The sequence below is a fragment of the Homo sapiens genome, chromosome 1 (assembly GCF_000001405.40).
Source record: "Homo sapiens chromosome 1, GRCh38.p14 Primary Assembly".
Classification (NCBI taxonomy): domain Eukaryota; kingdom Metazoa; phylum Chordata; class Mammalia; order Primates; family Hominidae; genus Homo; species Homo sapiens.
In genome coordinates, this window is record NC_000001.11 from 21,658,161 (window position 1) to 21,682,436 (window position 24,276).

Sequence of the window (24,276 nt, forward strand, 5' to 3'; positions counted from 1 at the left end):
CAAATGAATATTTTTTGGTGTGGCTTTAATCCATAATACATTTTTCAAAGGTGCAGCTACTGAAGTCATTCTGAACTAGAGGTCAGGTACAGCGACATGACTTTCTGCTCTTAAATCTAAGGGTAGGCCGGGCTCAGTGGCTCACATCTGTAATCCCAGCACTTTGGGAGGCTGAGGCGGGTAGATCACCTGAGGCCAGGAGTTCGAGACCAGCCTGACCAATATGGTGAAACCTTGTCTCTACTAAAAATACAAAAATTAGCCAGGTGTGGTGGCATGCGCCTGTAGTCTCAGCTACTCAGGAGGCTGAGACAGGAGAATTGCATGAACCCAGGAGGCGGAGGTTGCAGTGAGCTAAGATCACAGCACTACACTCTAGCCTGGAGTTTTTGAGACTCTGTCTCAAAAAACAAAAACAAAAACAAAAAATCTAAGGGTAGGCTGGGCAAGGTGGTTCACACCTGTAATCCCAGCACCTTGAGAGGCTGAGGTGAGAGGACTGCTTAAGCCCAGAAGTTCGAGACCGGCCTGGTAACAAAGCAAGACTCCATCTCTATTACGATAATTTTAATTTTTTTAAATCTAAGGGTATATTTTTAATAAATAGGTGCCCAAGGCTGGTTACTTCTTTGGCTCTTGTGGTGTGGTCATGCCACAGCATTCATGTAGGGAGGTGGAGGGCCTTTTTCATCTCTTATGCCAGTATATAGTTGGTTTTTGAAGTCAGGTGTGTAGGCAGGCTTATTTCCTAGGAATATCATGACAGGAAAATGAAGAACGCTTTTTTTTTTTTTTTGAGACGGAGTTTTGCCCTTGTCGCCCAGGCTGGAGTGCAATGGCGCGATCTCGGCTCACCGCAACCTCCACCTCAGTAGCTGGGATTACAGGCATGCACCATCAGGCCCAGCTAATTTTTGTATTTTTAGTAGAGTCGGGGTTTTTCCATGTTGGTCAGGCTGGCCTCGAACTCCCGACCTCAGGTGATGCGCCCGCCTTAGCCTCCCAAAGTGTTGGGATAACAGGCGTGAACCACAGTGCCCGGCCGAAGAACGCTTTTTAAAACGTGTTCTCTAATGGGTCCGGGAGTCCGCCGCGGTCTCGGGCGCCACCAATTGGCCGTCATAAGAACTGCAGGCGACGGCCGCCCGGGCTCCAGGACCAGGGACAGCGCCCCGGGAGCATCTCAGAGAAGGGTGGGGACCCGGAGCCGCCGGGACAGCGCCCCCAGTCACCGGCCGCGCGCTCGCCACCCCCCGCACTTCCTCACCCCTCCCTTACATGGAGGCGGCCCCAGCGCCCGTCCTCGCCCTCTCCCCGGCGCCAGGCGCCGCCGCACGTCTCCCAGCTCACAAGGGCGCACCTGCGCCCGCCCACTGTGCTCTCGCCGCCCCCTCCCGCGGGACCCGTTCTCTCGGTGCGCAGATCACGGGGCCGCACCTACGCGTTCCGGGATCTCTGTGATCCTGACAACAGCCCCGTGAGGCTGATCCTGCAAGAGTTACATGTCTGCCATGGCTGACGGGGGAAATTGAGGTGTGCAAACAGAGCAGATCCAGCTCTTCCGAGCTCTTCGGGACCTCAGTCCCTATCACCCGTGCGCTGCAGCTCAGTGGCACAGCCCCTTCTAGTTCCCGAGGCCCTGTGCCAAGTGCTTTCATCCAGTCCTTAAACCCACCCTGTAAATTAGGTACAATCATCTTCCCCATTTCACAGATCAGGAAGCCAAGGTCCCAGAGGCTGAGTGGCTTGCCTAAGGATCAGTGGATGCAGATATGGCTACAAAACCTCTCTGAGGTCTTCACACTGCTCTGAGTCACTGTGAGGGACGCTCCTGCCAGGGAAAAAGTCCTTCCAACAGTACACACTGCCCTGCCCTGGCTGCTCTGTCCTGGTATCCTCGGGCTTGAATGCCTTCTGGGATAGGATGCGGGCATGGAGCCTCAAGATCTCTCACAGAGGAACCCAATCTCCCCATCCTCACAAGCTTTAGCCTCACAAAGCACCTCCCCAAGACACACAGTAGGTGCTTAATAACCCGTTGCTTGGCTGAAGCCCTGCCTTCCAGGAACCAGGGCTCTAAATGCATAACTACACAGCCTGGATACAGAGCAGGGCAGTGTGAGCCAGTGAGGAAGGGCACAGGCTCAAGAGGGCTGGACAGAGTGGGTTCCAACTCAGCTATATATATTTATTGAGACAGTCTCGCTCTGTCACCCAGGCTGGAGTGCAATGGCACGATCTTGGCTCACTGCAACCTCTGCCTCCAGGGTTCAAGCGATTCTCTCGCTTCAGCCTCCTGAGTAGCCGGGACTACAGGCACCCGCCACCATGCCCGGCTGATTTTTGTATTTTTAGTAGAGATGGGGTTTCACCATTTTGGCCAGGCTGGTCTTCAACTCCCAACCTCAAGTGGTCCTCCCGCCTCAGCCTCCCAAAGTGCCAGGATTACAGGCAAGAGCCACTGCACCCAGCCCCGACTCAGTCTTGAGCTGTGACCGTCAGCCTTAGTTTCCAATCTGGAAAATGGAGATGATACTAGCTCTTAGCTCACAGAGTGATGGCGTGTTAAACAAGGTGATGCACACAGACACCTTAGCATGGTGCCTTGTGCTCACGAACGGCTTGCACGGTGGTGGCTGTTAACACTGTTGCCAGTAGGGTCTTCTTTGGGATACACAAAGCCCAGGAGCCCTAGCTGAGTCATGCCTTCATTTACCCCAGGGGTAAATCAGGTGGGCAGGAGAAGCAGAGGAAGAGGCTGCAAATGTAGTTGGGCTGAGCTGGGGACAGGAGGAGGAGGGAGATGGCTGGGGCGCGGTGGCTCATGCTTGTAATAATCCCAGCACTTTGAGAGACTGAGGCAGGTGGATCGCCTGAGGTCAGGAGTTCGAGAACAGCCTGGCCAATATGGCAAAACCCCATCTCTAGTAAAAATACAAAAATTAGCTGGGCGTAGTGGTGCATGCCTGTAGTCCTGGCTACTCAGCAGGCTGAGGCACAAGAATCGCTTGAATCCAGGAGGCCGAGGTTGCACTGAGCTGAGATCGCACCACTGCACTCCAGTCTGGGCAACAGAGCAAGACTCTGTCTCCAAAAAAAAAAAAAAAGGAGGGAGACGCAGCCATTCTTGGTGGAGGCAGAGAGCTTAGCAGTGTCTGAGACTCCCTGCCTCATGACCTAATCTCTGACCCTCAACCCTGATCAGCTCTATAGTCTCCTTGTTTTAGTGAGCACTCCATAAATGTTCAATGAATGAATGATGGCCTACGTTGACTATGAACATAAAGAAACAGAAAGTCAACTTTAGTCCTATCATAATATACATAAGGCCTGGCATCAGTATGGGTTTGGAATCACATGGACCTGTGCTTAAATTCCTGCTCTGCCACTTCCTGGCTTGTGACTTTGGTCCATTTTCATAACCTCTCAAAGCCTCAGCTTCTTCATCTGTAAAAGAGGATGGCAATGATAATAAAAGTACTTACCGCATAGGATTGTTCTTAGGATTCAGTGTAAACTGCTCACCCCTGGCACATAGTAGGCACACAATAAATGGAGACTGTCTTTAGTACTATTACTGGACACGTGCAAGGACAGCTGTGAGCTGAGCCAGGAAATCTGTGTTCTAAGCCTAGTGCCACCAATGGCTCACAATGTGACTGTGGGCAGCTCCCCAGTTTTCTTCTCTGAATAATGAGGCCCCTCCAAGGGCCCTTCTCAATCTGATTTTCTGGGGCAGCATAGCCCCCATGTGCATGGTGGGCAGAGAAGTCTCTTGGAAACAGCTCTGCCCACCAGTCTGTCTCTTCCAGACCACGCCACTGAAGGGCGTGGTGTTCCCGTGACAGGGAGGAGGCAGGCATCACTGGGAATCTCAGAACCTCATCTGATACTTGCCCTGGCCCCATACAGACCTCTCAGGACCAGCCCCACTCCAATGCAGGGTGCAGCCCCAGAGCCACGTCACACAGGTGCTGGGTCTCAGAAGGAAGAGACCTGTACCAAGGTCAACTGTGTGCCCCTAGGTCCATCTCCTTGCCTCTATGAACCTCAGTTTCCTCACCCACAAAATGTGGATGAATCTTGCTGGCCCCAAGGGCTCCGGCACACTCAGCAGCAACCCAGATGTGAAAGTCCTTTGTGAATTGCTCCCATCAGGCATAATCATGATAATTACTATCTGTAAAACGAGGGGGTTGGACCAGCTGATCTCTGTGGGCTCCTTCCCAGCTCTGAAGCTGGGGATTTCTTGGGTTTCCAAGCTGGGAATTTACACAGACGTAGGGGGCCAGGAGAAGTCAGGGTCTGTGGGACTGTGTGTCCACAGGAACCCCTGAAAAGTTGTCCCCATTCATCCTTTTCCCCCAAGCCAGCCTGGGGCACTGGGCCCCAGGGATAGGCCATGGGGAGGGGGAGCTGGAAGCTTTAGGGCCTGGAAGCTTCAGGGCCACGTCCTGCAGGTGTGAGCCTCCAAGTCTCAGCCCCACCCCTGCTCCTGCCCCTGCCCAGAATTGCTCCCATTACCCAGAGCACAGATTCTGTATGGCGCCCTCCCCAACCCCTTCTCATTCTGCATGCAGTACACAGAAATGGCTAAAAGTAGAGTCACACAACCCTCAATTCAAATCTCAGCCCCAGCCACTCACCAGCTGGGTGACCTGGGGCAGGCTATTTAACCTCTCTGAGCCCTTGAGGGTTGCTAAGAGGATTAAATGAGATAGATCCATGAAAAGTGCTTACATAGGGCCCAGCACACTGCAAGTGCTCAATGAATGCCCCCACCTGCATCCAATTGCTCAGGCCCCATCATGCCTCCCCCCATCCAGAATCTTCCTAGAATTCCTGAGCTAGCTGCCCACTTCCCACCCTGACTGCCATTGGGTGGGCCCAGCATTGTAGAGTTTGTGCAGGACCCAGGCTTCTCTGCCCTTCGGAGGACTACAGAGCCCACACCTCTCCAGCCAGGGAGGGCTGTGGGCTTTGGGGACTCGGACAGGTGAGGTCTTTGTCCCAGCGGCTCTGCCCAGTCCTGTTTCTAGAGGCAGGGAGCCCTGGGAGAGGGGCTGTAAGGGCAACCCTCTATCCCTGGCAGAGCTCCCACACCTCAAGTGAAAGGCAAGTGGTGAATGAGGCAAGGCTAGAGTCTTCAGTCCCATGGCATCCTGAGCCTGCTGCCCGGGTGGGCACAGTGCCTACAGCAGTCTGCCAGCGGGTGGATGGCCTCTCTCTGGACCTCCAACACAGGGGAAGACGCAAGAGGCTGGTGATGGTGACATCAGCTCAGGCCTTGTCCTGGCAGCCTCTCGAGGGTCCCTGACGCTGCCAACTTTTGAGCAAGAAGAATCAGGGCTGCCCTGGCAGTTCTGGCACCGAGCTTGCAGGCAGGAAGAAGTTCCCAAGGTCACCCTCCATCAGCCACCTCCACCCTACCCCTCGAGCCCTGAATCAAGGAGTGAGGCCTTGGAGAGGGCTGTCCTCTGAGCAGGGTACTGGGGTGGCTTTCCCTCGCAGAACTGGGGCCCAGAGTTCAGGAGCCAAGCAGAGGGCTGGACCCATCTGCCCCACCTCCACCTTCCCTCTGCTGCCCCCACAGCCTGGCTGCGGCAGACACATGGCTCCCGTGGCCTTGAGAAGGTCACAGCCTCTGAGGTGGCTCAGGCATCTGATCCTCACCCACTGCCCCCAAACCCCAGCCTTGCCAGCAGATCCACCGTCTCAGGGGAGTCTGAGGAACAGGTACTGTAGTTTCAAGAAATACTGCAATTCCCCCAGAGATACAACAACACACTTGAGGCTCACACAACACAGTCACCAGCTTCAACTCATGGGAGCTGTACTGCAAAGACAGAAACTACATCCTCCCATTCCACAGATGGAAAGGGAGGCTCAAAGAGGCCGGGCGGCTTGCCTGAGCTCACCCAGCTAGTGGGGTGGGGCCAGAAGCGGAACACAAGGTTCCTGACTTCCTGAACCAATGACAGCCCCCGGCTCTCCAGCTCTCATAGCAACCTAGTTCCCGGGTGGCTTGGTGCCTTGATCCTCTTGCCTGCCCCTGGGATGGAAGAGGCTGGAATCCTCTCCTTTGCACACTGGGAGAAAATGAGGCCCAGGGAAACAGGCGAGGGGGCCATCCTTACACAGCAGTGGCAGGGCAGAGAACTACGCCAGGTGGTTCCTCATTCCAGGCTAGTGGGCTCAGCCTGCCCCTCCCGTGTATCCTGCATTGATTTTGGGGAAATGCAGACTCCTCGGCCTGCCATTCAAGGCCCTTAATAGACTGACCCCGATTTGTCCCTACCCCCACCTTCCATGAATCCAACCCAGTGTCCACATTGCCACCCCCAGCCCTTGCCCACGCCGTAGCTGGTCTCGCCTCCAGGAGCGCCTCCACTTCTCCTCTTGCTGTGCAACTGGTAATTCTACTACTAACATTATCACTTACTGAACACCTAATATGTGCCAGGCAAGGACTCCTCAAGGAGGAAACTTACCCAGCTCACCTGGTGATAGCCATGCCAACTACTTTGGAAATGCGAAGTTACGGAAAAAATTCTCACTACTCTCAAAACACTGAAGAAAAGGCTTATTATTTTTTTTTTCTGGCTGTAGAGAAGTATTGGATGTTTTTAGAAAAGATTTTTCTCCAGATTTGTGTTTGCTTTTCCTTCAGTGTGTCTCTCTGTGTTTCTCTGAGTGCAGCTTTATATTTTTCAAAGCAGTTCCCAGCCAGTATGTCTGGCCTCGCAAACAACATCCCCAGGGAGGCAGGCAAATAAAAGCTCGTCATCCCCGTTCTAGGGAGAAAGAAATGAGGCACAGAGAAGGCAGGTGATTTTTCCAAAGTCACACAGCAGAGACTGGATTTGGCATTCTGAGGACTCCCAATCTATGTCCTTTTAGACCCAGCAGAATGCCTAGGATAAGCTGGGCACTGCCCTCAGTGTTTGCTTGCATTCACCTTCTTATCCCTTGAAACATACTCATCAGGCAAGTGCTATGATTCCCACTTCCTAGATCAAGAAACAGACTCAGAGGGAGAGAGGAACTCACCAAAAGTTGTACGGCTGCTCAGTGGCAATGTCAGAATTCGAACTTGGGTCTGCTTCCTCCGAATGGGGGTCCGAGGGAGGGTGGCCTCGGTTGGCAGAGGTATTAACCTGTAGAGTGGGCAAGTCACTTTCTCTCTTTGAGCCTCACCTCCTCATCTGACACAAAGCACCGGGCTGTGGCAGGGACCACAGGACCCAGCTCATCTCTGTGCCCCAGTGCCTGTCACAGTCCCTGGGATCCACTACATGCTCATTAAATGCTTAGTGAGTAGGCACACGAGGCTGCTCCCATTGTGCTGGTGCAAAGCAGGAGTATCATGTTTTGCTTCCTTTCTTGCAGTAGGAAAGGCTGGAATCCCAGTGGGACCTTTCTGTTTTGGGGTGTCTCCCCACCAGCACTCCTCTGCCTCTTTTCCCTTCTTCCTCTCTGAGTCACCACCTGCCTGACAGTGCTGGTCTTTAGCCCTAAATATAGAGCACATTTTGAGGCATAAAATGTCCACAAATGTGAGCAACATAGCTGCAGCCCACTGCCCTTGGGTACCCTCCTCCTGGGCTGACCCCAGGGTGGCCGCCCCAAGAAGCCCTGAGACTGGCGACCCCTGCTTGGCCCTAGTGTGGATCCAGAGGCTGCACTCTGCAGGAAGTCATCAGCCTGGGGCCCCATGGGCCCACACTGCCACCAGAGCCCAACTTCCTTTCCTTATTGGCACAGGGCTGCCACCTCACACCTCTGACTTTCCTCATCCCCCAGCCAGGCTGAGCTGCCTCCCAGAGCTGGAGCTGGGCCCAGAGAGGGAAAATGACTTGTCCGGGCCACACAGCCAGCAAGAGGCAGGGCCAGGCTTGGACAGGGAATCAGCACTCTGGCAGGCTTGGTGTGAGTGCCGAGGGAGCATGGTGGAGCTGGGAGCCCCTCCCCATCTAGCATGTCTGCCCTGGAGGCCTCACCTAAGCCCACAGAAGCACCTCTCCACAGCGCCAGTCTCTCAGAGGCACAGGGTGCCAGGGCCAGCCTGGCAGAGGTCCTGGCATGCAAGGAGGTGAGCAGAGAGTGCTGAGGGCTCCCTTCCCTTCACACCAGCTGGCCCCCAGCCTTGCTGGGAGGACAAAGCAGAAACTGGGGCCTGGTAATGCCTCTAGCAAAAGTGGAAAGGAAAGGGAACCCCAGAGCCGCTTGGAGCCTGCACTGGGTCCTGTCCTGTCTTGGGAAGGACCTGCAGAACAACACCTTCAGAGACAGCAAAGGAGCAGCCTGGGGAGAGGCTCCCGTGGCAACCCGCTGGGTATGTACACAGAGGGGAGGCAGGAGAGGAGGGTCCACTGAGTGGGAAGCACCAGGCAGTTTCCCAGGATTCTTGGGGCCAGTCAAGCTGGGTCCACATGAATCAGAAAAGAGGGAGGAAGGGGAGGCTTTGCTGGGGACGGTCGGGGGCCTCCACTCCCCTCCCCGGGTGATGAAGCATTAACATCCCACACGCAGGAAGCTGATGTAATTCATGCGTGTGTGCACCCATGATGGCCTGGGTGTGGGTGGGTGCATGTGCGTGTCTGCCAGGTTCATTTTTAAGGGCGTAGGGCATCCTCGTGTTCTTCCTGCATGCGCGTGTACCATGTGTGCACCCTGGAGGAGATAATGGAGGCAGACGACAGAAGACGAGGGCTTCTGAAAAGGCTCTTCTCCTTGCTGACAACCTCCGTCTCTCTGTGTGTACACACGTGCCAGCATCTGGATGGTGTGACTCTCAGTGCTTGTGTGTCAGGCAGAGTCGGGGGCAGGGGTCTTGGCCTGGGTGTGCCCGTGTGTTCCTGTGTCTGGGTCTCAGGGTATCTGTCAGTCTAACTGTATTTGCGTTTGTGTCTGGCCGTGCTCAGGTCTCGGTTGTTTGCACAGCACATGCGGCTGCTCAGCAGCCTCTGACAGCCAGGACAAAGGCCTCCGTAGACAGATGGCAGCATGGAGGACAGATCTGCCCGAGGAGTCCTCAAAGGGCCTCTTGGCCCCAGAATTTGACAGCAGGGCAGGGGCAGGGCCAGGTGAGAGGGAGGTGGAGGCCCTGCTGTGGGAGCCTGAGGCCTAAGTGGCAGAGACCTCTCTCCCTGCTGCCCTCCAAGAGGCCAAAGGAAGAATCCTTCTTGTCTCCTAAGGGTGGAAGGTAGTTAGAGCCAGGAGAGGGGCCTCCTGAGACCCCTGCCAGGCAGGCACCTTGGGAAGAAGAGAAGAGGAGAGGGCTTTGCCCAAGCAAGCTGGGAAGGTCCCAGGGTGAAAGCACCATTATGGTGCTCCACGGGACAACCCTCCCTCCATGGGAAGGGGTGGCAAGGCAAGCCTAGGACTCTGGACCCTCTCCTCAACCTGACCCAGCTTCCAGCCACAGGCACCCTCACCTCCTGGCAGCAAAGGGGAGCAGGTCCACATGGACCACTCCACCACGGCGTTCACCCTTCCTCCTCTCCACCGCTGTGGAGATCTTCTCCCATCAAGAGTCAGAGTACCACGATTCTAGACCTTGCTGAAGGTGACTAGGTGACCTCAGGCAGTTCATTTAGCCTCTCCGAGCCTCAGTTTCCTCACCTGTGCAATGGAGGCTTCAGCGCCTGCCCTGAAATATTGCTGTGAAGGGGGAAATTGCTCGTGCCACCTGAGGATTAATCATTACCCTGGAACCCTTCCCAAGGCCATCAAGGAACACGCACCCCTTACCAGACCTTCCAGCTGCTGGGGGCTCTCAGAGTGAGGCTGAGGTCATGGAGAAGGGAATGGGGGGCCCCCATGGCCAGCTGGACCTGATCACTGCCTCCCCACTCAGCCACAGCCCTCAGGGCCCTGTGCCAGTCCAGAAGCCCATTCAGGGACACCTTTGGCCAATGTTCTGTTTCATCTGCGAGGCAACCTTCCCCAGTGCCCCAACCATAGCGTTTTCCCCCAAACACCCTCAGGAAGGAGGGACCACTACCTGTGCAGGGGGGGCCAGGAGCCTCCTGAGAGCCTCATATGGGGAGGAAGTGGTACCATCTCACCCCCATTGCCTTTCTCTCCTACTTCCACCTGGCCAGCTTCCCTCAGTGCCCCTCCTGCCTCAGTGCCCCTTCCCTCAGTGTCCTTCCTGCCTGCCGCCCCAGGGGCCTGACCTCTGACTTGGCAGGGAGGGGAATGGAGCCCGGGGACAGAGGCCAATGAGCCCTGAGAACAGTGGATGTTCTTCCTGACCCCACCACCGGGCCTGTGCTATGACCCCAACAAGGACTCCGAGGGCATGCACAGGCTGGGGTCTGTTATGGTAGGGAGGGGGCCGCTCACCTCCGGAGACTGTGTGTGTGTGCAGGTGTGCGTACACAAGGTTTCTTCCCCAAGCCCAGGCGCCCCGCAGCTGGCACCAAACCCTGCAGGGCACGGAAACCGCCCCGTGAATTCCCACCGAGTCCTCAGATCCTGCCGAGCCAGGGGAGGCGACGAGGGGGCGCCCAACTTCGTGACGCGTGTGCCCCGCTCTGCCGCGGGGGTCAGGGACAGGGGAATGCGTCCTGTCTCTGGGGATGCAAGGACATCACCGCCCTCCCCGCTCAGGGTCCTTGATCTGAGGCCCCCACTTCCCTCCTCTGAGGACAGGAGCGCCACCCTCTGGGGGGCGCTAGGGCTTGGGCCCCTCCCCAGGGATGGAGGAAACGCGCCCACTTCCCACAGTCCCTCCTCTAAACCCCAGGCGCCCCCACCTCGAGGTGGGCGGAAAACTGGACTCCCCACCCACCCAGGGGGGTGGGACCAAAGCCCCCTGGCCGCGGCCTGGACCAAGTCCAACAGGCTGGGGGTTCAGCCGGCTCAGTCCAGGCCTCCCCCCACTTCTCCAGCTGCTGTCAAGACCGGGCTGCGCGAGCCCAGCTGCGCCCACCCCTCGCCCCTGGAGACCCGGGTCCCCCACGCGTTCGCCCCCACCCTCCGTCCCCGCCCGCCCGCGCGGGGTCTTCGCTGCGAGCCGACGGGAGTCTGGACACCTCTGTCCCCTTCCCCTTTCCAGGGCCGCAGCCCTGGCGGGGCGCACTCACCCAAGGGCCTGGGCCGGGGGCGTCCTGGGCTCGGCACTCTGGTGCCCGCGGCCGCCGCTGCAGCTCTGCTCAGATGCGGCCGGCGCTCGCCGCCGCCGCAGTTCGGGGAGGGGGACGTCACATGACCGCGGAGCGCTCCTTCCCCGGCGCCGCTCCCCACTCACTGCGGAGCCCAAGCCGCGGGCGCGGGAGCGGCGGGGAGGCCCCCGCCCTGCCGCCCCGCCCCGCCGCAGGTCCTGGAGGAGGGTTCTCGGTGCCCCCATTTTACAGGTGGGGAAACTGAGGACCAGAGAGGGGCAGGGACTGGCTCAAGGTTACACAGCTAGACAGTGGCAGAACCTGGGCGACAGCCCAGCTGTCCAGGCAACAGCTCATGCTCCAAGGGGACTGGGACAACTTCTGGATCAAGTGGAGACGTCGGGATAGGTGGGGCCCACGGCCCCCATGGGCTCCGCTTGTCTGCAGGCGCGGGAGGAAGGCGCACAGGCTTCGCTGGGCGAGAAAGCTGCTGTGCCCTGGCTGACGCCCTCCTCACCCGGGCGCTCGGCGCGCTTCCTGGCAGAGGCCACGCGGTTGACCCTCGCCAGCCCATTCGCGGCTCTTGGACTTTGTCTCTGGACTGGGCAGCTCGCCCCCGCCCCAGCCTAACCCGGGCCCAGGGCGGGTGTGGGGAGGGGAGCCACAGGCTACGGAGAAGTGGAAGGGAGGCACCCGGAAGAGAGTGGGATCAGAACAAGAGTGAAAACCCAGGCAGGGAGGGGGCGGCAGAGATCACCTCGGCCTGACTTCCAAGGCCCAGGGAGAGTTAGAGACTTGCCCAAGGTCCACAGCAAGTGAGCGGCCTGCCCACTCGAGTCCCTTCTTTGATGGTCAACAGAGCCTGAGGCTCCTGTGCCCCACTCCCCACCAAGGGGGAGCCCTCACCCACACCTCTTTCTGTTCTCCACTGAGCTCCCTCCCCGGGGAACAGCCCACATGAAGCAAAGAAACACGCAGTGGGTCGGCAAGGCCAGAACTGGGGACAACGGGTGAGGGGTATGGTTGGTGGCTCCAAGGTCATGAACTCGTCACAGAACACTCGTGTTCCAGGGGGATCTCTGAAATCTCTGGATCTCACCCCAATGTTCTAAGAACTGGGAAAACAGGCTGCAAAAGGTACAAAGACAGACCTCTTTCTCAACCATTTCGAATTGGTGGGTCAAGCCGACAGGGCCCTCCAAGGTCAACAAGTCCAATAGGCCCACTTGACAGATAATATTTAGGGAGGGGAAAGTCCAAGACATGTACTCAATATATTTCTTGAGCATCTACTGTGTGCTTAAAACCACAACTGTTACTTCCAGCTCCCACTATTTTCCCGGCCACATGGGCTGCATTTCACAAAAGGAAAGATCCGAGGTCTTCAGCAACTCTTACATCAGCCTCTGGAGGATCTGAGACATGCAAGCCTCCGGGTTTTCAGTCCCATAGGGGCTGGGGACCAGAGCCATGTTTTCCGGTCAAGACTCTAATCCCCGTGGAGAAAAGGTGAATAAGGGGGAATAGCAGGAAATGCCCCACCCTCTTCCCACGCATCCACCCACCTGTGAAAGGGCAGAGGGGAAGGTAGATCAGGCACTTGTTCTTTTCAGTCCTCCCTCCAGCAAGCTTCCCTAGCTGTATATGGGAAAGAGACCCCAGCCCAGGGGGGTTTCTCAAACTTCTAAGAGTGCAGGAGCGGTCTGTAGACTCAGATTCAGATTCAGTGGGCCTGGAGCCTGAGCTCCTGCATTTATAATGAAGCTTCGTGGCTGCAGACATCCTGAGCAGCACTGGTAGTACAAGGCAAGTTGTCAGGGCAGGAGGAAGACTCCTGCGGTATCACATGCTCACTCATGGACCACCCAACCCGGGGGGCCCTTTGATCTCCTGCCTAGGAATACACCAGGACTATATAGTTGGCTCAAACACTGTAATAAAAAGGCAAGAAGTTGAATGAGGCTGGCCGAGGCGCTTCTGGGGATGATGGTGAAGGGACTGTGGGGCATAGCAACTGCCCTAGACAGGTATGTCCTGCAGGGCTCTGGTCCTGGGAGATGCTTGGTCAAATACATCCTACTTAGGAAATGCCAGCAGAATGCCTATAGACCTTCAAGGGCAGCATGTACTGGGTGGGGCTGGCTCATCTTCAGCAGGGGCGGGGCTCACAGATCTCAGAAGTACATGGATTCCAGGATCCTTTTAAGCACCATCTCTCTACCCATCCTCTCGCTTTTTTATGCATTGCTCCCTGAATTCAATTCTGAGCACAATCTTCATGCTTCTTGCTTCCCTAACTCCTGTTCCAAAAGGGCCCCTTTCTCCTCCACGCTTTAAGACAGAGACCCTCAATTCTGGCCAGGCATTGCTGATGGTACATCCCAGAGTGCTGAGTGGAGACAAAGGTGTCCCACCTGAGCTGGAGGGAGGGGGCAGATGGAGGCACTGGAGATGCAGAAATGCAGCAAGCCAAGGGGTACAGCTGTGTGACCTCTTCATGGTCCCATAACCTTCTGGAGTCTGGACCTGCAGACTCCAAGGTCCTTAAGAGCTCAAGAGCCTATTAGCCTGGGGGTACTGAATGTCCCCGACCCTGGCTGAGCAGACCAAAGAACGAAGTCTCTTCTATGCCAGGCGTCTCTATTTCTTCTTTATAATCAAGGAGCTTTTCAATTACAGCATTTTCCCCTTTACAGAAAACCTCCCTCAATGCAAGAGGCTTATAATCTCCCATGTGTCCTGGGGGGCACCATTCTGAGACTGTCAGGGCCCCTGGCGAGGAGGCAGCACGTGCCGTAGGGGGCTGGGCACAGAGCTTGGCATGCAGCCTAGCTACTGAGGGGGAAGATTGGACAAAGGCCCCGGAGCTTTGCTTTCCCTGTCCTATTTCAATCCAAACCACTCAGGACTGACCACTCACGCATGGCTGCCTCTGGGCACAAGCCTTGTCTCAGACACTTAATACATTGCGACCCAGCCACCATCTCTGTGCTCCCTATCACTGAGAAATGAAAGCTGGCTTTAAAAATCTGGCATCCAAAAAGGCTGGAGAACGAAAACATGGGTGGCACCACGGTAAACTCCAAATAATGCATGAGACTGCAGGTGAGGGAGGGGGGAACAGTCCTAAAATGGGAATGATGCCTCTTGGAAATAACTCCCCATCTCTGCCCGCCCACTCCTTCCCAGTCAGATCAAATGGGAGAAAAACTGAGATAGGAACTGCCCACCAGAGCAAGTAGGGGAAGAAAACCCCAAAGCAGCAAGTCCTCAAGGTGTGCTGTCCACAGAGCCACAGGTAAGGTCTAGGAAAGGCCGGCAAGGAGGGTGGGCTTCAGGGGCGGCTTGGAGCAGAGGACAGTTCCACTCTAACCACAGCAAGGCAGGATGAAGAGTGGCAGTCGGCGCCAGGGCACACGCATCAGGGAAGGGCCAGCGGCCCCCGTCTGGGTGGGAGGCTGCCAACCTGGTGCAGCAGACATGACAGAGACTACCCCTGGGGTTAGAGGACTTTGGATCATGAATAGTTAGGAAGTCCCTGTTTTGAGGACAAAGAAGAAAAGCCTGAAGGTAGGGACAGTACTGGTCAAACCAAAGTAGTAAAAAGAGCTCTCCCCCAAGGGGCCACGGGAAAACTTCTAACAGATTCCAAAGTAGTCATTCATTTTTCCTTACTGAGGATGTATCATGCGGGCCGCTGTGGGAATACAGTGGTAAGATGGCCAGAGCCCTGCTCTCAGGGAGCTACAACAGTCTAGCACTAATTAGGTTGATTCATTTGTGGGGGACTGAATGGTTTTAGGTGCAGACATAAAATCCAGCCTGGCCCTAACTCTGGCTTCCAGTACAGGAAATAAACAGTATACTCTAGTTCCAGAACTCCACAGTCTAGCATGACTTGGAGCCTCCTTCATCCAGAGAACAAGTGACATGCTGTGGATGAGTGAGAAGATGCTACAAAAACTCCAGATAAACCAACCAAAGAGGCAGCTCAGAGACTAATAAAACAAGAGAAGTCCTGAGAGGTAGTCCTGTTTGGTAGCTTTCCAAATGTACTGCCTGGAGCTTCCTCAAGGGAGTAGGTGGGTGTGGGAGGAGGCCCCACTATCTACTTCCACGGAGTTCATGTTTGACAACTTCTACACATCCCACTTCCTTTCAGAGAGAACGCCGAGGCTCAAAGGGGAACAGACTTGTCCAGGATCATAAAAGGAACTGGTTGCAGCTTAGCATTCCCTTGGTTACAAAACACCAGAGCACCAGGGAAAGGAAAACCCAGATAGAATTGTGCAGAGGCCAGTGTGCCAGCAGGCAACAATCCAACCCAGGCAGTGGCTGCGTCGGCCTCCTGGCCTCCCTGGAGTGCGTGCCCCACTTCCTGTGGCTGAGGGCCTGCCTCGCCTGGCAGCACTAACGCAGATTTGGAATTCAAGCAGCCATTCCAGCTGCTGTTATAAGGCTGCCTCCCTCCCTGTCCGAGAGCAATTTCACTTCAAAGGCCCTCCAAGTCCTTGAAAGCAGGGTTTTTTTCCCTTTTTTTTAAAGCATGTTGGGGAGAAACAGATGATGCCCTCTATTTGAGATCAATACAGTAATTATGTTGGACAAGCTCTTAGGGCTAACTTGAGGGGGAATTCACAGCCTCATGAATGACAAGCGTGAAAGCTCATGGAATGAGAAGGACCAGCCTGCCACCCGTGTTTTGCTTGTGGGATGCAGCCCATTCCGCAGTAGGATCCCCTTCTGCAGCAACCTTGGTCTGGTCTCTGCTGGGTGAGACACAGCAGAGGCCCAATCCACTACAAGCTGGTGCAGGTCCCAATTCTAAAGTCAAACCAGGCCAGGCGCGGTGGTTCATGCCTGTAATCCCAGCACATTGGGAGGCCAAGGTGGGCAGATCACTTGAGATCAGGAGTTCGAGACCAGCCTGGTCAACATGGTGAAACCCCATCTCTACTAAAAATACAAAAATGCTGGGCGCGGTGGCTCATGCCTGTAATCCCAGCACTTTGGGAGGCTGAGGCGGGCGGATCACAAGGTCAAGAGATCGACACCATCCTGGCCTACATGGTGAAATCCCGTCTCTACTAAAAATACAAAAATTAGCTGGGCGTGGTAGCACGTGCCTGTAGTCCCAGCTACTTGGGAGGTTGAGGAAGGAGAATCGCTTGAACCCTGGAGGTGGAGGTTGCAGTGAGCCAATCCAGCCTGGTGACAAAGCAAGACTTCACCTCAAAAAAAAAAACAAAAAACAAAAACAAAACAAAACAAAAAAACTAGCAGGGCGTGGTGGCAGGCACCTGTAATCCCAGCTACTCGGGAGGCTGAGGCACAAGAATCGCTTGGACCTAGGAGGCGGAGATTGCAGTGAGCCGAGATTGTGCCACTGTACTCCAGCCTGGGTGAGAGAACAAGACTCAGTCTCAAAAATTAAAATAAAATAAAACAAAGTTAAACTAATGTCACTTTGAAGAGGTCATACAACTCCTGGCAAGCCACAATTCTGCAACCTCCTCCTTCCTAAAATCTAGTGAGGCTCAAAGAGATATTAAACCTTACCACATGCAGAAATCTCACATGGTTAGTATCTTGTATTTATTTGATAACTGGTTCTGTCATTTGTTGGGGGAGGGGAGACGTAAGAAATACCTGTTTCGTGTACTCTACCCTTGAACGATATTATTCACTAAGTATCACCAGGTAAATAATGAAAAACGCAATTCTCAGACCAGGAAGTGACCTCTGAGCACCAGCCACAGGCCTCCGCATGGCTTTGCTTCCCAGTGCCCGCAGAGCCATGCCTCGGCAGCTCGAGACATCTGTTCCTGATGTTCTTAGCAATGACAATCAAAACAACTGAAGCTGCCCCTTTGGGGCAGAAACTGCCCATCACGGAGACATAAATCTTCAACATGCATTCTAAGCGTGTTTCAAATACCTTTCGACATGACCCTGCAAAAAAAACACCGAATTGAGAAGGCTTGCAGTTTGGCCATTGGCTTCATTATTCTTATGGGCCAGGAGAAAAGATTTATGTGACAGGATGGTCGAACACCTGTCTAGTTATCATTTTAGTTGGAAGGGCTTGAAGTAAAAGGTAGTTTCTAAAGTTCTCAGAGAAGATGCTCCAGGTAGCTTTGCTAGGTGGTTACAAGGCCTCTTTTTGAAGACTTGCAAAAGAGATTCCAACAGCATTTCCTCAGAAAGGCAACAGTTCTTCTAAATGCAAAGAAAAATACAAAGCCTTTTACCTCAACAATATTTATTACTGTTTAATCCTCTGAGTGTAGTAAACAAAAATAGCAAATACTGCTATTTTGAGAGATGAAGAAATTAAGGTAAAGCAAGATTAAGTCACTTTTCTTGGTTACAAGGTAAATGGTGAAATTATCTGTAACACAGGTGGCCCAACTTCTACAACTCCACACTTTCAACACTTGCCTGTATGTTTATGTGCTATCTGGATAGCTAGCAGACTCCTTAGCCCAATTAACAGCCAGAATGGAAAAAAAAAAAAAAAAAAAATCCAAGGTTTGAGATATATGGGATGGAGAAGTGGTTTTGTCTGCCAATGAGACTGTCTACCTGGCACACACTACCTGACACAGAAATGTTGCTCAGGGAAATCAACAAAGTGCTACCTACCATTTTACAAATGTTTATAATTTGTACTTTAATGAAAAATAGAGGGTTCGAATAATGTTGATAAATCCCCAGCCAGTATTTCTGCCTACAGAATGTCTAGGAGATGGGTGTGTGTGTGTGTGTGTGTGTGTGCGCGCGCGCGTGTGTGTGTGTTTTGGGTGGGGGTGGTGATGCCAGCTTTCAGAAGTAGAAATGTTGTTGACAAAACCCTGTACTCTGGGGTGGGGGTGGGAGTATGGGGCGTTATCACAGACATGCACATTTTTTTTTTGTGACAAGGTCTCACTCTGTCGCCCAAGCTGAGTGCAGTGGTGTGATCACAGCTCACCGCAGCCTCGACCTCCTGGGGTCAAGCAATTATCCTGCCTCAGCCTCCAGAGTAGCTGGGACCACCGGCATACCTGGCTAATTTTTGCTTTTTTATAGAGATGAAGTCTCACTATGTTTCTCAGGCTGGGAAAATCTTCTTAAAATGAAAACGCTGGCTTTTAATCTGCATGCACTCTGTTCGCAGTCCCCTATTAACACTGAATGAGCTGAGGACTAAAGTACCCAAGAGAAAGGATATGATTCTGCCCCATGATTCGGTAACAGGAAAGACAGGCTTTCTTGCTCATTTCGCTTCAGCGGTTTGTTTAGACAGAGATAAATCATCCCTTGGGTTTTTAAAACAGGTTATTCAACCTGAGCATTAGATTCCAATATTAACCAGAGTCTGATGAACAGATCTATGACCACATAGACCAACCAAAAGCACATTTAAAATAACCAAAAAATTCACTATGGATTATGCTCCCACAGAAATAAAGGGACACTCATATCTTTTAAATTTGGCAGGAAGGTAACAGTAATTCTAAACAATAGAGTTCATAAATACACAGAAAGATACTTACTCCCCAGGAAATGAAGACACCCAAATGCAGCCTATATTTCAGTTCGTGGTGACAATCTGTACCAGTGTAGTATGCTGAACACATTCGTTTCAGATTAAAGAATGGTCAGAAATATCAAGGGGAAAAGACCCAAGCTTCATAATACCTTATACCGGAGACTGATCTAATATAAAAAAGTACACATGCATGGCATTAGAACCCCAACACAAAGAGTCTCTGAACTTTTCACAGTCCAGAAGGCAAATGGACTCCATCTATTCATAATTACAGACGAAACGAGAATCGGGCTTTAGGTCATACCCTTTACCTGTTTTTCCCTGTACCAAGTGAGAAGGGTGGCAATGCAAAACCATTCAATACAAGCATACGTTTCTTTGCAACTCTGCCTACTATGGGTGGGAGAGGCCCCAAGCCCAGGGTTTCAAAGAGTACAGGAGTGGCCTGTGGATGCAGATTCCGATTCAGCGGGTCTAGGGCCTGAGCTCCTGCCTTGGTAATAAAGCTTCACAGTGTCACTGGAGCCGCTGGGCTGCAGTTACTTTCAGCAGTGCTGGCAGAACAAGGCAAGTTGTCAGAGCAGGAGGAAGATGACCCTGAGCCAAGGGCAGACTCTTGCAGCATCACCTGCTCACTCGGTGCCCACCCCACCCCTGGACAGAGATAATAAAGAAGCCAGTACTCAGAGCAGGTACCACCAGCCTGAAAGATTTACAAAAGGCTGTTATTTCGTAGCATTGCAGGAGGAAAAAATACCCAAGTAACAAATTTCAAAACTGTTATCAACAGCAAATTGGGGAAAATATATCAGATTTCTGGGGGCTGCTAACATGTTTATGTCAATCCCCAAAAAGAACCTTCTCTGGCCAACAAGCTTCTTTGTAAGGAAAAGGAAGTGGCTTCAATCAAGCATTGTGCGAACTTTTATAAAAGTCTTTACCTTGGGAAAGAAGAAGTTTGTGTTATTAGTTTTAGGCTCCTGCATTCATTTCTTTGGAGCTAATAAAACAATGAGATCTAAAAATCAGGATCCATCAGCTCAACTTCAAGTCCTTCCCCTGTGCCAACCTCAAGGCCAGAACAGTTGGTCCCTTGGTTCCACTCCTAGGATGGTTTCTCAGGGGGCTGTGTGCAGCTCTCACCTTCCCCCATAGATAGGCTCATTAGAGACCCCCTGCCTCCTCAGGGGACACAGACTGAAGACATTAGAAACACAGAGGGGAAACACAAACACGAAGTTAGAATTTTACCAAATGGCCGTAATTACTCTGACAAAAGGAGCTATTCAAAAGGGATGCTGCCAAGGTTATCGGGTCTCAAATCAAAATCTGCCTTCCCCATCCATGATCTGAGTTCACATTTTCATGAAAGGGGGAAAAAGCCTTGCACAAACCCAAGGCCAAGAAAAGTGTTAACAAGAGAGATGCCTAAGCTAGCATCTCAGCCACAAACTTACACAGACGGACTCAACAGAGAAAACTTTTTTTTTTTTTTCAAAGGAAAAACTCCAGTCTTAAGTTCAATTAAAAAAACCCCTTCAATATTCTTAAGAATATTGCTTCGGTTACGTGTTGCTAAGAATGATAATCCTGAGTTGGATGGACAGCACATCCATATACTTTTTTCCTTTTTTAAACAATGATCTAAGAGACCCTCTCAGGGCATTTTGGAATAATGCTTTCAAAAAGAGAACTGAGGTCCAAGAAACAGTGACATGGAGGACAGGAAGAACAAATTTTATAGAAACCTTGTGTTATCCAAATGTACTTCAGTCTGATTTACTCTTCTGATAGGTAGTCAGATTTTTTATTTTCAAACGTGCCAGGTACATTTCCCACTTTTGAATAACAGCAAAACCGGAAGAGGATGCTTTCACACATAATAAATGTTCTCCATCCTTTCTGAAATGCACCAAAGCAAAAAGCCTCTGAAGTCAAAACATGAGACATAATTCCTTGCTCATTGCAGGAGACATGCAGGTGCCCCCTCCTTTACCCAATACCAAGAGACAGACGGCCGGGCAGGTGTAAGGCGGGTGGCGCTGCAGCTGACATGGAGAAGAGTCTAAATCTGAAGACACTTTTCCACACTTAGGACAAGTTCTTCACTTTCATGCTTTATTGAAAGTAGAATATGAATCAAAGACAGGCATTGGTAAGCAGGTTATGTCTCTAAAATTACTTTTCGTTCAGAGCAGAATGTTGTCCCATCTACTTGATACAATCCTTTATGGACCAACGCATCTGGTATGAAACTCGAGCAAGGAAATATAACAGAACTTTATTCCCCTCCCACGACTATAAATCTCATATGTAAACATGATTTACTATTACTGCTACTAAACTTGTTCCGTCTTTACTTGCCCCCTCCCACCCACCACCCCCCTTAAATATAAAATTGGAAACATTTCCTTCAAGTCTGATGTCCATCAGTGCAATCTGCTTTATTTGACATAAGGCATTTGGGACAGTCACGTTTGAATGGATTTCTGCCTTTTGGAAGGGGCATGTAATGGTTTAATTCTTAAATCCACCTTTGCTTTAATGCCCTAACATGTCAAACTCCTCTTCCCCTCTGGTCATTTCTTAGCAGTCAGCAAGTATTCAAAGATTAATGTCCAAGAAGACCAGTACCTGGGAAAAGAAACACACGTGGAGGGATAGTTGTGAACTACAGATTAAAAGTTCATGGATTCCATTTACCAAGAACACATCATCAACAGGGAGCATCAAATTTAATAAATGAACACAGTCGCACCTTGGTGTGGGAGGATAAGACAAAATACCAGCAGACTCCAGGCTCTCCGCTAAATCACATTTTTGTTGAAAGCCATGTGCTTCCTAAGTGTATCTTCACACAAACTAACCAGATTTTATTGATTCTTTCATTTAATGACCATTCTTCTTTTCTGAGAGTTTCACTCTTGTCGCCCAGGCTGGAGTGCAGTGGTGCAATCCTGGCTCACTGCAACCTTATCTCCCAGGTTCAAGCATTCTCCTGCCTCAGCCTCCCAAGTAGCTGAGATTACAGGCGCACGCCACCATGCCCGGCTAATTTTTGTATTTTTAGTAGAGATGGGGTTTCACCATGTTGGCCAGACTGGTCTCGAACTCCTGACCTCAAGTGACCCACCCGTCTCAACCTCCAAAAGTGCTGGGATTACAGGCGTGAGCCACCATGCCCGGCCAATGACCATTTTTCATAAAGACGTTTTTTGCTTTGTTTTGACCCCATCAGGAGTCCCTTTGTAATGGTAGCATGCAGACAACACAGCTGCAGCAAGAGGAAGACTTTATTTTGGCCAGTAGATTTGTCTCTCATTTGCTTTAGCAAGGAATAGCTGGTATGTGATTCAAAGTCATTCCTTAGAAAATCACAACCTGCCAGGGGCTTCTGGAGTGGCCAGCAAAGAATCAAGACAGCAACAGGAAAATCCGAAAACGTCAGAGGTCTGTATTTGATGACTTCTTGAATATTATCGGTGTGCACAACTACATGGCCCAGATGTAGTACGAGCACCACCGTGTCTCCTCTTGAAGTAATAATCCAACAAATGCCTTAATGCTAAGTGATTAATTAAATCTTTTCACTGGACTTGATAAAACCTGACAAATTCTTGTGCCACTAATTCTTAATAGTTACACACTGTTTTGCTCTAGGAGGGGACTTGATAGGAAGAACTGGGAAAAGGTTAAAAATAAATCTTGAAATGCCACTAGCTAATTTCCCAACCTCCCATAAAATGAGAAAGGGAAGGCCAAATGGACATCTGGCAAGAAACAGTTCTAACACAAAAGCCCCAGCTGAGGCCCCATTTGAGGCCTGAGTGTTGAAAAAGATAATGAAGAAGCTTGAGTAAGAAATGCATTTAACTAAAATTAATTTCAGTCATGAGACTCAGATTGGATTAAAATTTAAAATCAAATTATAGCCTTCGCTTTAACAGAAAATTACAGGATGACTCTGACATTCATGAACAAAACATGACAAATGTAACTTACCTTTAAACCCTTCTTCTGGCATACAAACTGAAAAAAAGAAAAAAAGAAGAATTCCAAATTGAAAAGATTGTCGTGACAGACAGTAATATCATTTCAATGCTTAAAGACAAAAGTTTAAAATAACTTTTGATTACCTTTGTCACCTGTAATAATCATCTTTGAAGTTACGGATGTTACTAATTTCAGAACAATCTTTGTTTCTGTTTTTATCAAAGCAATACGTATGCATCATTTAAAAAGTCAAATACTGACAGGACAAGGTTTGTAACTAGGGCACACCTAGTGCACGACTCTAGGAGTGGCCTGGGAGGAAGCCATGTAACTGACTCCTCTGGAGCTGTCTCTCTCCCCTTCCTCCTCCCATTCCCAAGTTCTGGAAGGAGTCACTTTTGACTCACACAGCAGCTTCTTCTGGTATTTAGCCTATTTCTAAATAACATGCTTTTCATAATTTTATTTACTTTTTTTTTTTGAGAGGGTGTCCAGCTCTGTCACCCAGAATGGAGTGCAGTGGCATGATCTCGGCTCACTGCAACCTCTGCTTCCTGGGTTCAAGCAATTCTCCTGCCTCAGCTTCCCAAGTAGCTGGGATTACAGGCACCCACCACCACACTTGGCTAATTTTTGTATTTGTAGTAGAGACAGGGTTTCACCACGTTGGCCAGGCTCGTCTCGAACTCTTGACCTCAAGTGATCCGCCCGCCACAGCCTCCCAAAGTGATGGGATTACAGGAGTGGGCCATCGTGCCTGGCCTACTTCATAATTTTAGATAAAAATCTAATAAATTCTTCAGTGAAGGATACAAACAGCTGTTTTACCACTTACATAGCACCTGCCCCGACCCATCCTCCTGATGAAGTGGTGTTTGTTGTTGTTAAGCCAGTCTCCAGCGCTGGCATTACTTTTTACGCCATTAATACTAGTCACAGTTGAATGCCTTGGTGCACCTTGGTTATATTTACTACATGGTATGACTTGGTCTTTCTGGGCTTGGTAACTACTGAATTACTGATGTGTTTCATTTTCTCTGTATTTATCTCCAATTCACGTGTAAATTCTTAAAGACCTGTAACCTCTTGAAGACAGTCATCATCCCTTCCACTTTTCCTTGTGGCATCCCTTCCTGAAGCTCGCATCCCACCACTCCAATATGGATCAGGTGTCTTCGCTGCCTGCTGAAGAACAGTAGTTCTGAGACTTCCCTTCACCATCTTCTAGGGCATCTTATCCTAGGCTGATCTGCTATTTACTGGGTCCACTGTTGATTCTTTCTTGATTTAATGTTTAAGAAGAAGAACACATCCTCACACAGTATCATGGCAGACGGTGCATGACAGATCAATCTTTTGAAGCCCTGAATATGTTCAAGGGGCCATCAGGTGTGAGGGTTACAGACTTATAGATTGGAACTTGCTTTCCCTCAGGATCTTGCGGGCACTGCTCTATTATCTTCCTGACTTCATCCTGTGAATTTGACTGGCTTTCCCTCCTACTTCTAGATGCTTTCATGACCCTCTTACCCTTAGTTTTTTACTTACTATATCAAACCCAGGGTACCATCATTTTTTACATTTCCATGAACTCTCTTCTATGCTCCAAATGTTCCTTTTATATAGTTCCTCTTCCTA

At 51.3% G+C, this 24,276-nt stretch overlaps 2 protein-coding genes across 113 annotated transcripts in view, besides 5 other annotated features; both read right to left on the reverse strand.

Annotated features, from left to right (window-relative positions):
• RAP1GAP (RAP1 GTPase activating protein) overlaps positions 1 to 11,197 on the reverse strand; it is a 73,137-nt gene extending 61,940 nt beyond the window's left edge. For 48 of the 98 annotated variants that reach the window (NR_170911.1, NR_170915.1, NR_170909.1 and 45 more), the window contains exon 1: positions 11,094 to 11,197. The gene's annotated coding sequence lies outside the window, so the exon portion shown is untranslated. Of the gene's footprint in view, positions 1 to 7,050; positions 7,158 to 9,437; positions 9,664 to 10,350; positions 10,434 to 11,093 lie in introns of all 98 variants that reach the window. The other 50 variants (NR_170903.1, NR_170908.1, NR_170920.1 and 47 more) reach the window with 7 other exon arrangements.
• Positions 1,196 to 1,355: a silencer, noted in NCBI's record as "silent region_385". NCBI's record gives its function as "represses an Ori minimal core promoter by ATAC-STARR-seq in GM12878 lymphoblastoid cells {active_cell/tissue: GM12878}" and the evidence as "EXISTENCE:reporter gene assay evidence [ECO:0000049][PMID:35858748]".
• Positions 1,426 to 1,475: a silencer, noted in NCBI's record as "silent region_386". NCBI's record gives its function as "represses an Ori minimal core promoter by ATAC-STARR-seq in GM12878 lymphoblastoid cells {active_cell/tissue: GM12878}" and the evidence as "EXISTENCE:reporter gene assay evidence [ECO:0000049][PMID:35858748]".
• Positions 7,898 to 8,398: an enhancer, noted in NCBI's record as "H3K4me1 hESC enhancer chr1:21992551-21993051 (GRCh37/hg19 assembly coordinates)". NCBI's record gives its function as "activates a minimal SCP1, AML or CMV promoter by ChIP-STARR-seq in primed H9 embryonic stem cells {active_cell/tissue: H9 hESC(primed)}" and the evidence as "EXISTENCE:reporter gene assay evidence [ECO:0000049][PMID:30033119]".
• Positions 11,119 to 11,268: a silencer, noted in NCBI's record as "silent region_387". NCBI's record gives its function as "represses an Ori minimal core promoter by ATAC-STARR-seq in GM12878 lymphoblastoid cells {active_cell/tissue: GM12878}" and the evidence as "EXISTENCE:reporter gene assay evidence [ECO:0000049][PMID:35858748]".
• Positions 11,917 to 13,116: an enhancer, noted in NCBI's record as "MED14-independent group 3 enhancer chr1:21996570-21997769 (GRCh37/hg19 assembly coordinates)". NCBI's record gives its function as "activates an origin of replication core promoter dependent on BRD2, BRD4, P300/CBP and CDK7 cofactors, and independent of MED14, by STARR-seq in HCT116 cells {active_cell/tissue: HCT116}" and the evidence as "EXISTENCE:reporter gene assay evidence [ECO:0000049][PMID:35650434]".
• The window catches only part of USP48 (ubiquitin specific peptidase 48), a 104,852-nt gene continuing 100,713 nt past the window's right edge, over positions 20,138 to 24,276 (reverse strand). For all 15 annotated transcript variants that reach the window (XM_047432030.1, NM_001350164.2, NM_001350166.2 and 12 more), the window contains 2 exons: positions 22,648 to 22,674; positions 20,138 to 21,279 (listed from right to left, as the gene is read on the reverse strand). In XM_047432030.1, coding sequence (XP_047287986.1) covers positions 21,257 to 21,279; positions 22,648 to 22,674 — 50 coding nt within the window. In that variant the 3' untranslated portion in view covers positions 20,138 to 21,256. The remainder of the gene's footprint in view (positions 21,280 to 22,647; positions 22,675 to 24,276) is intronic.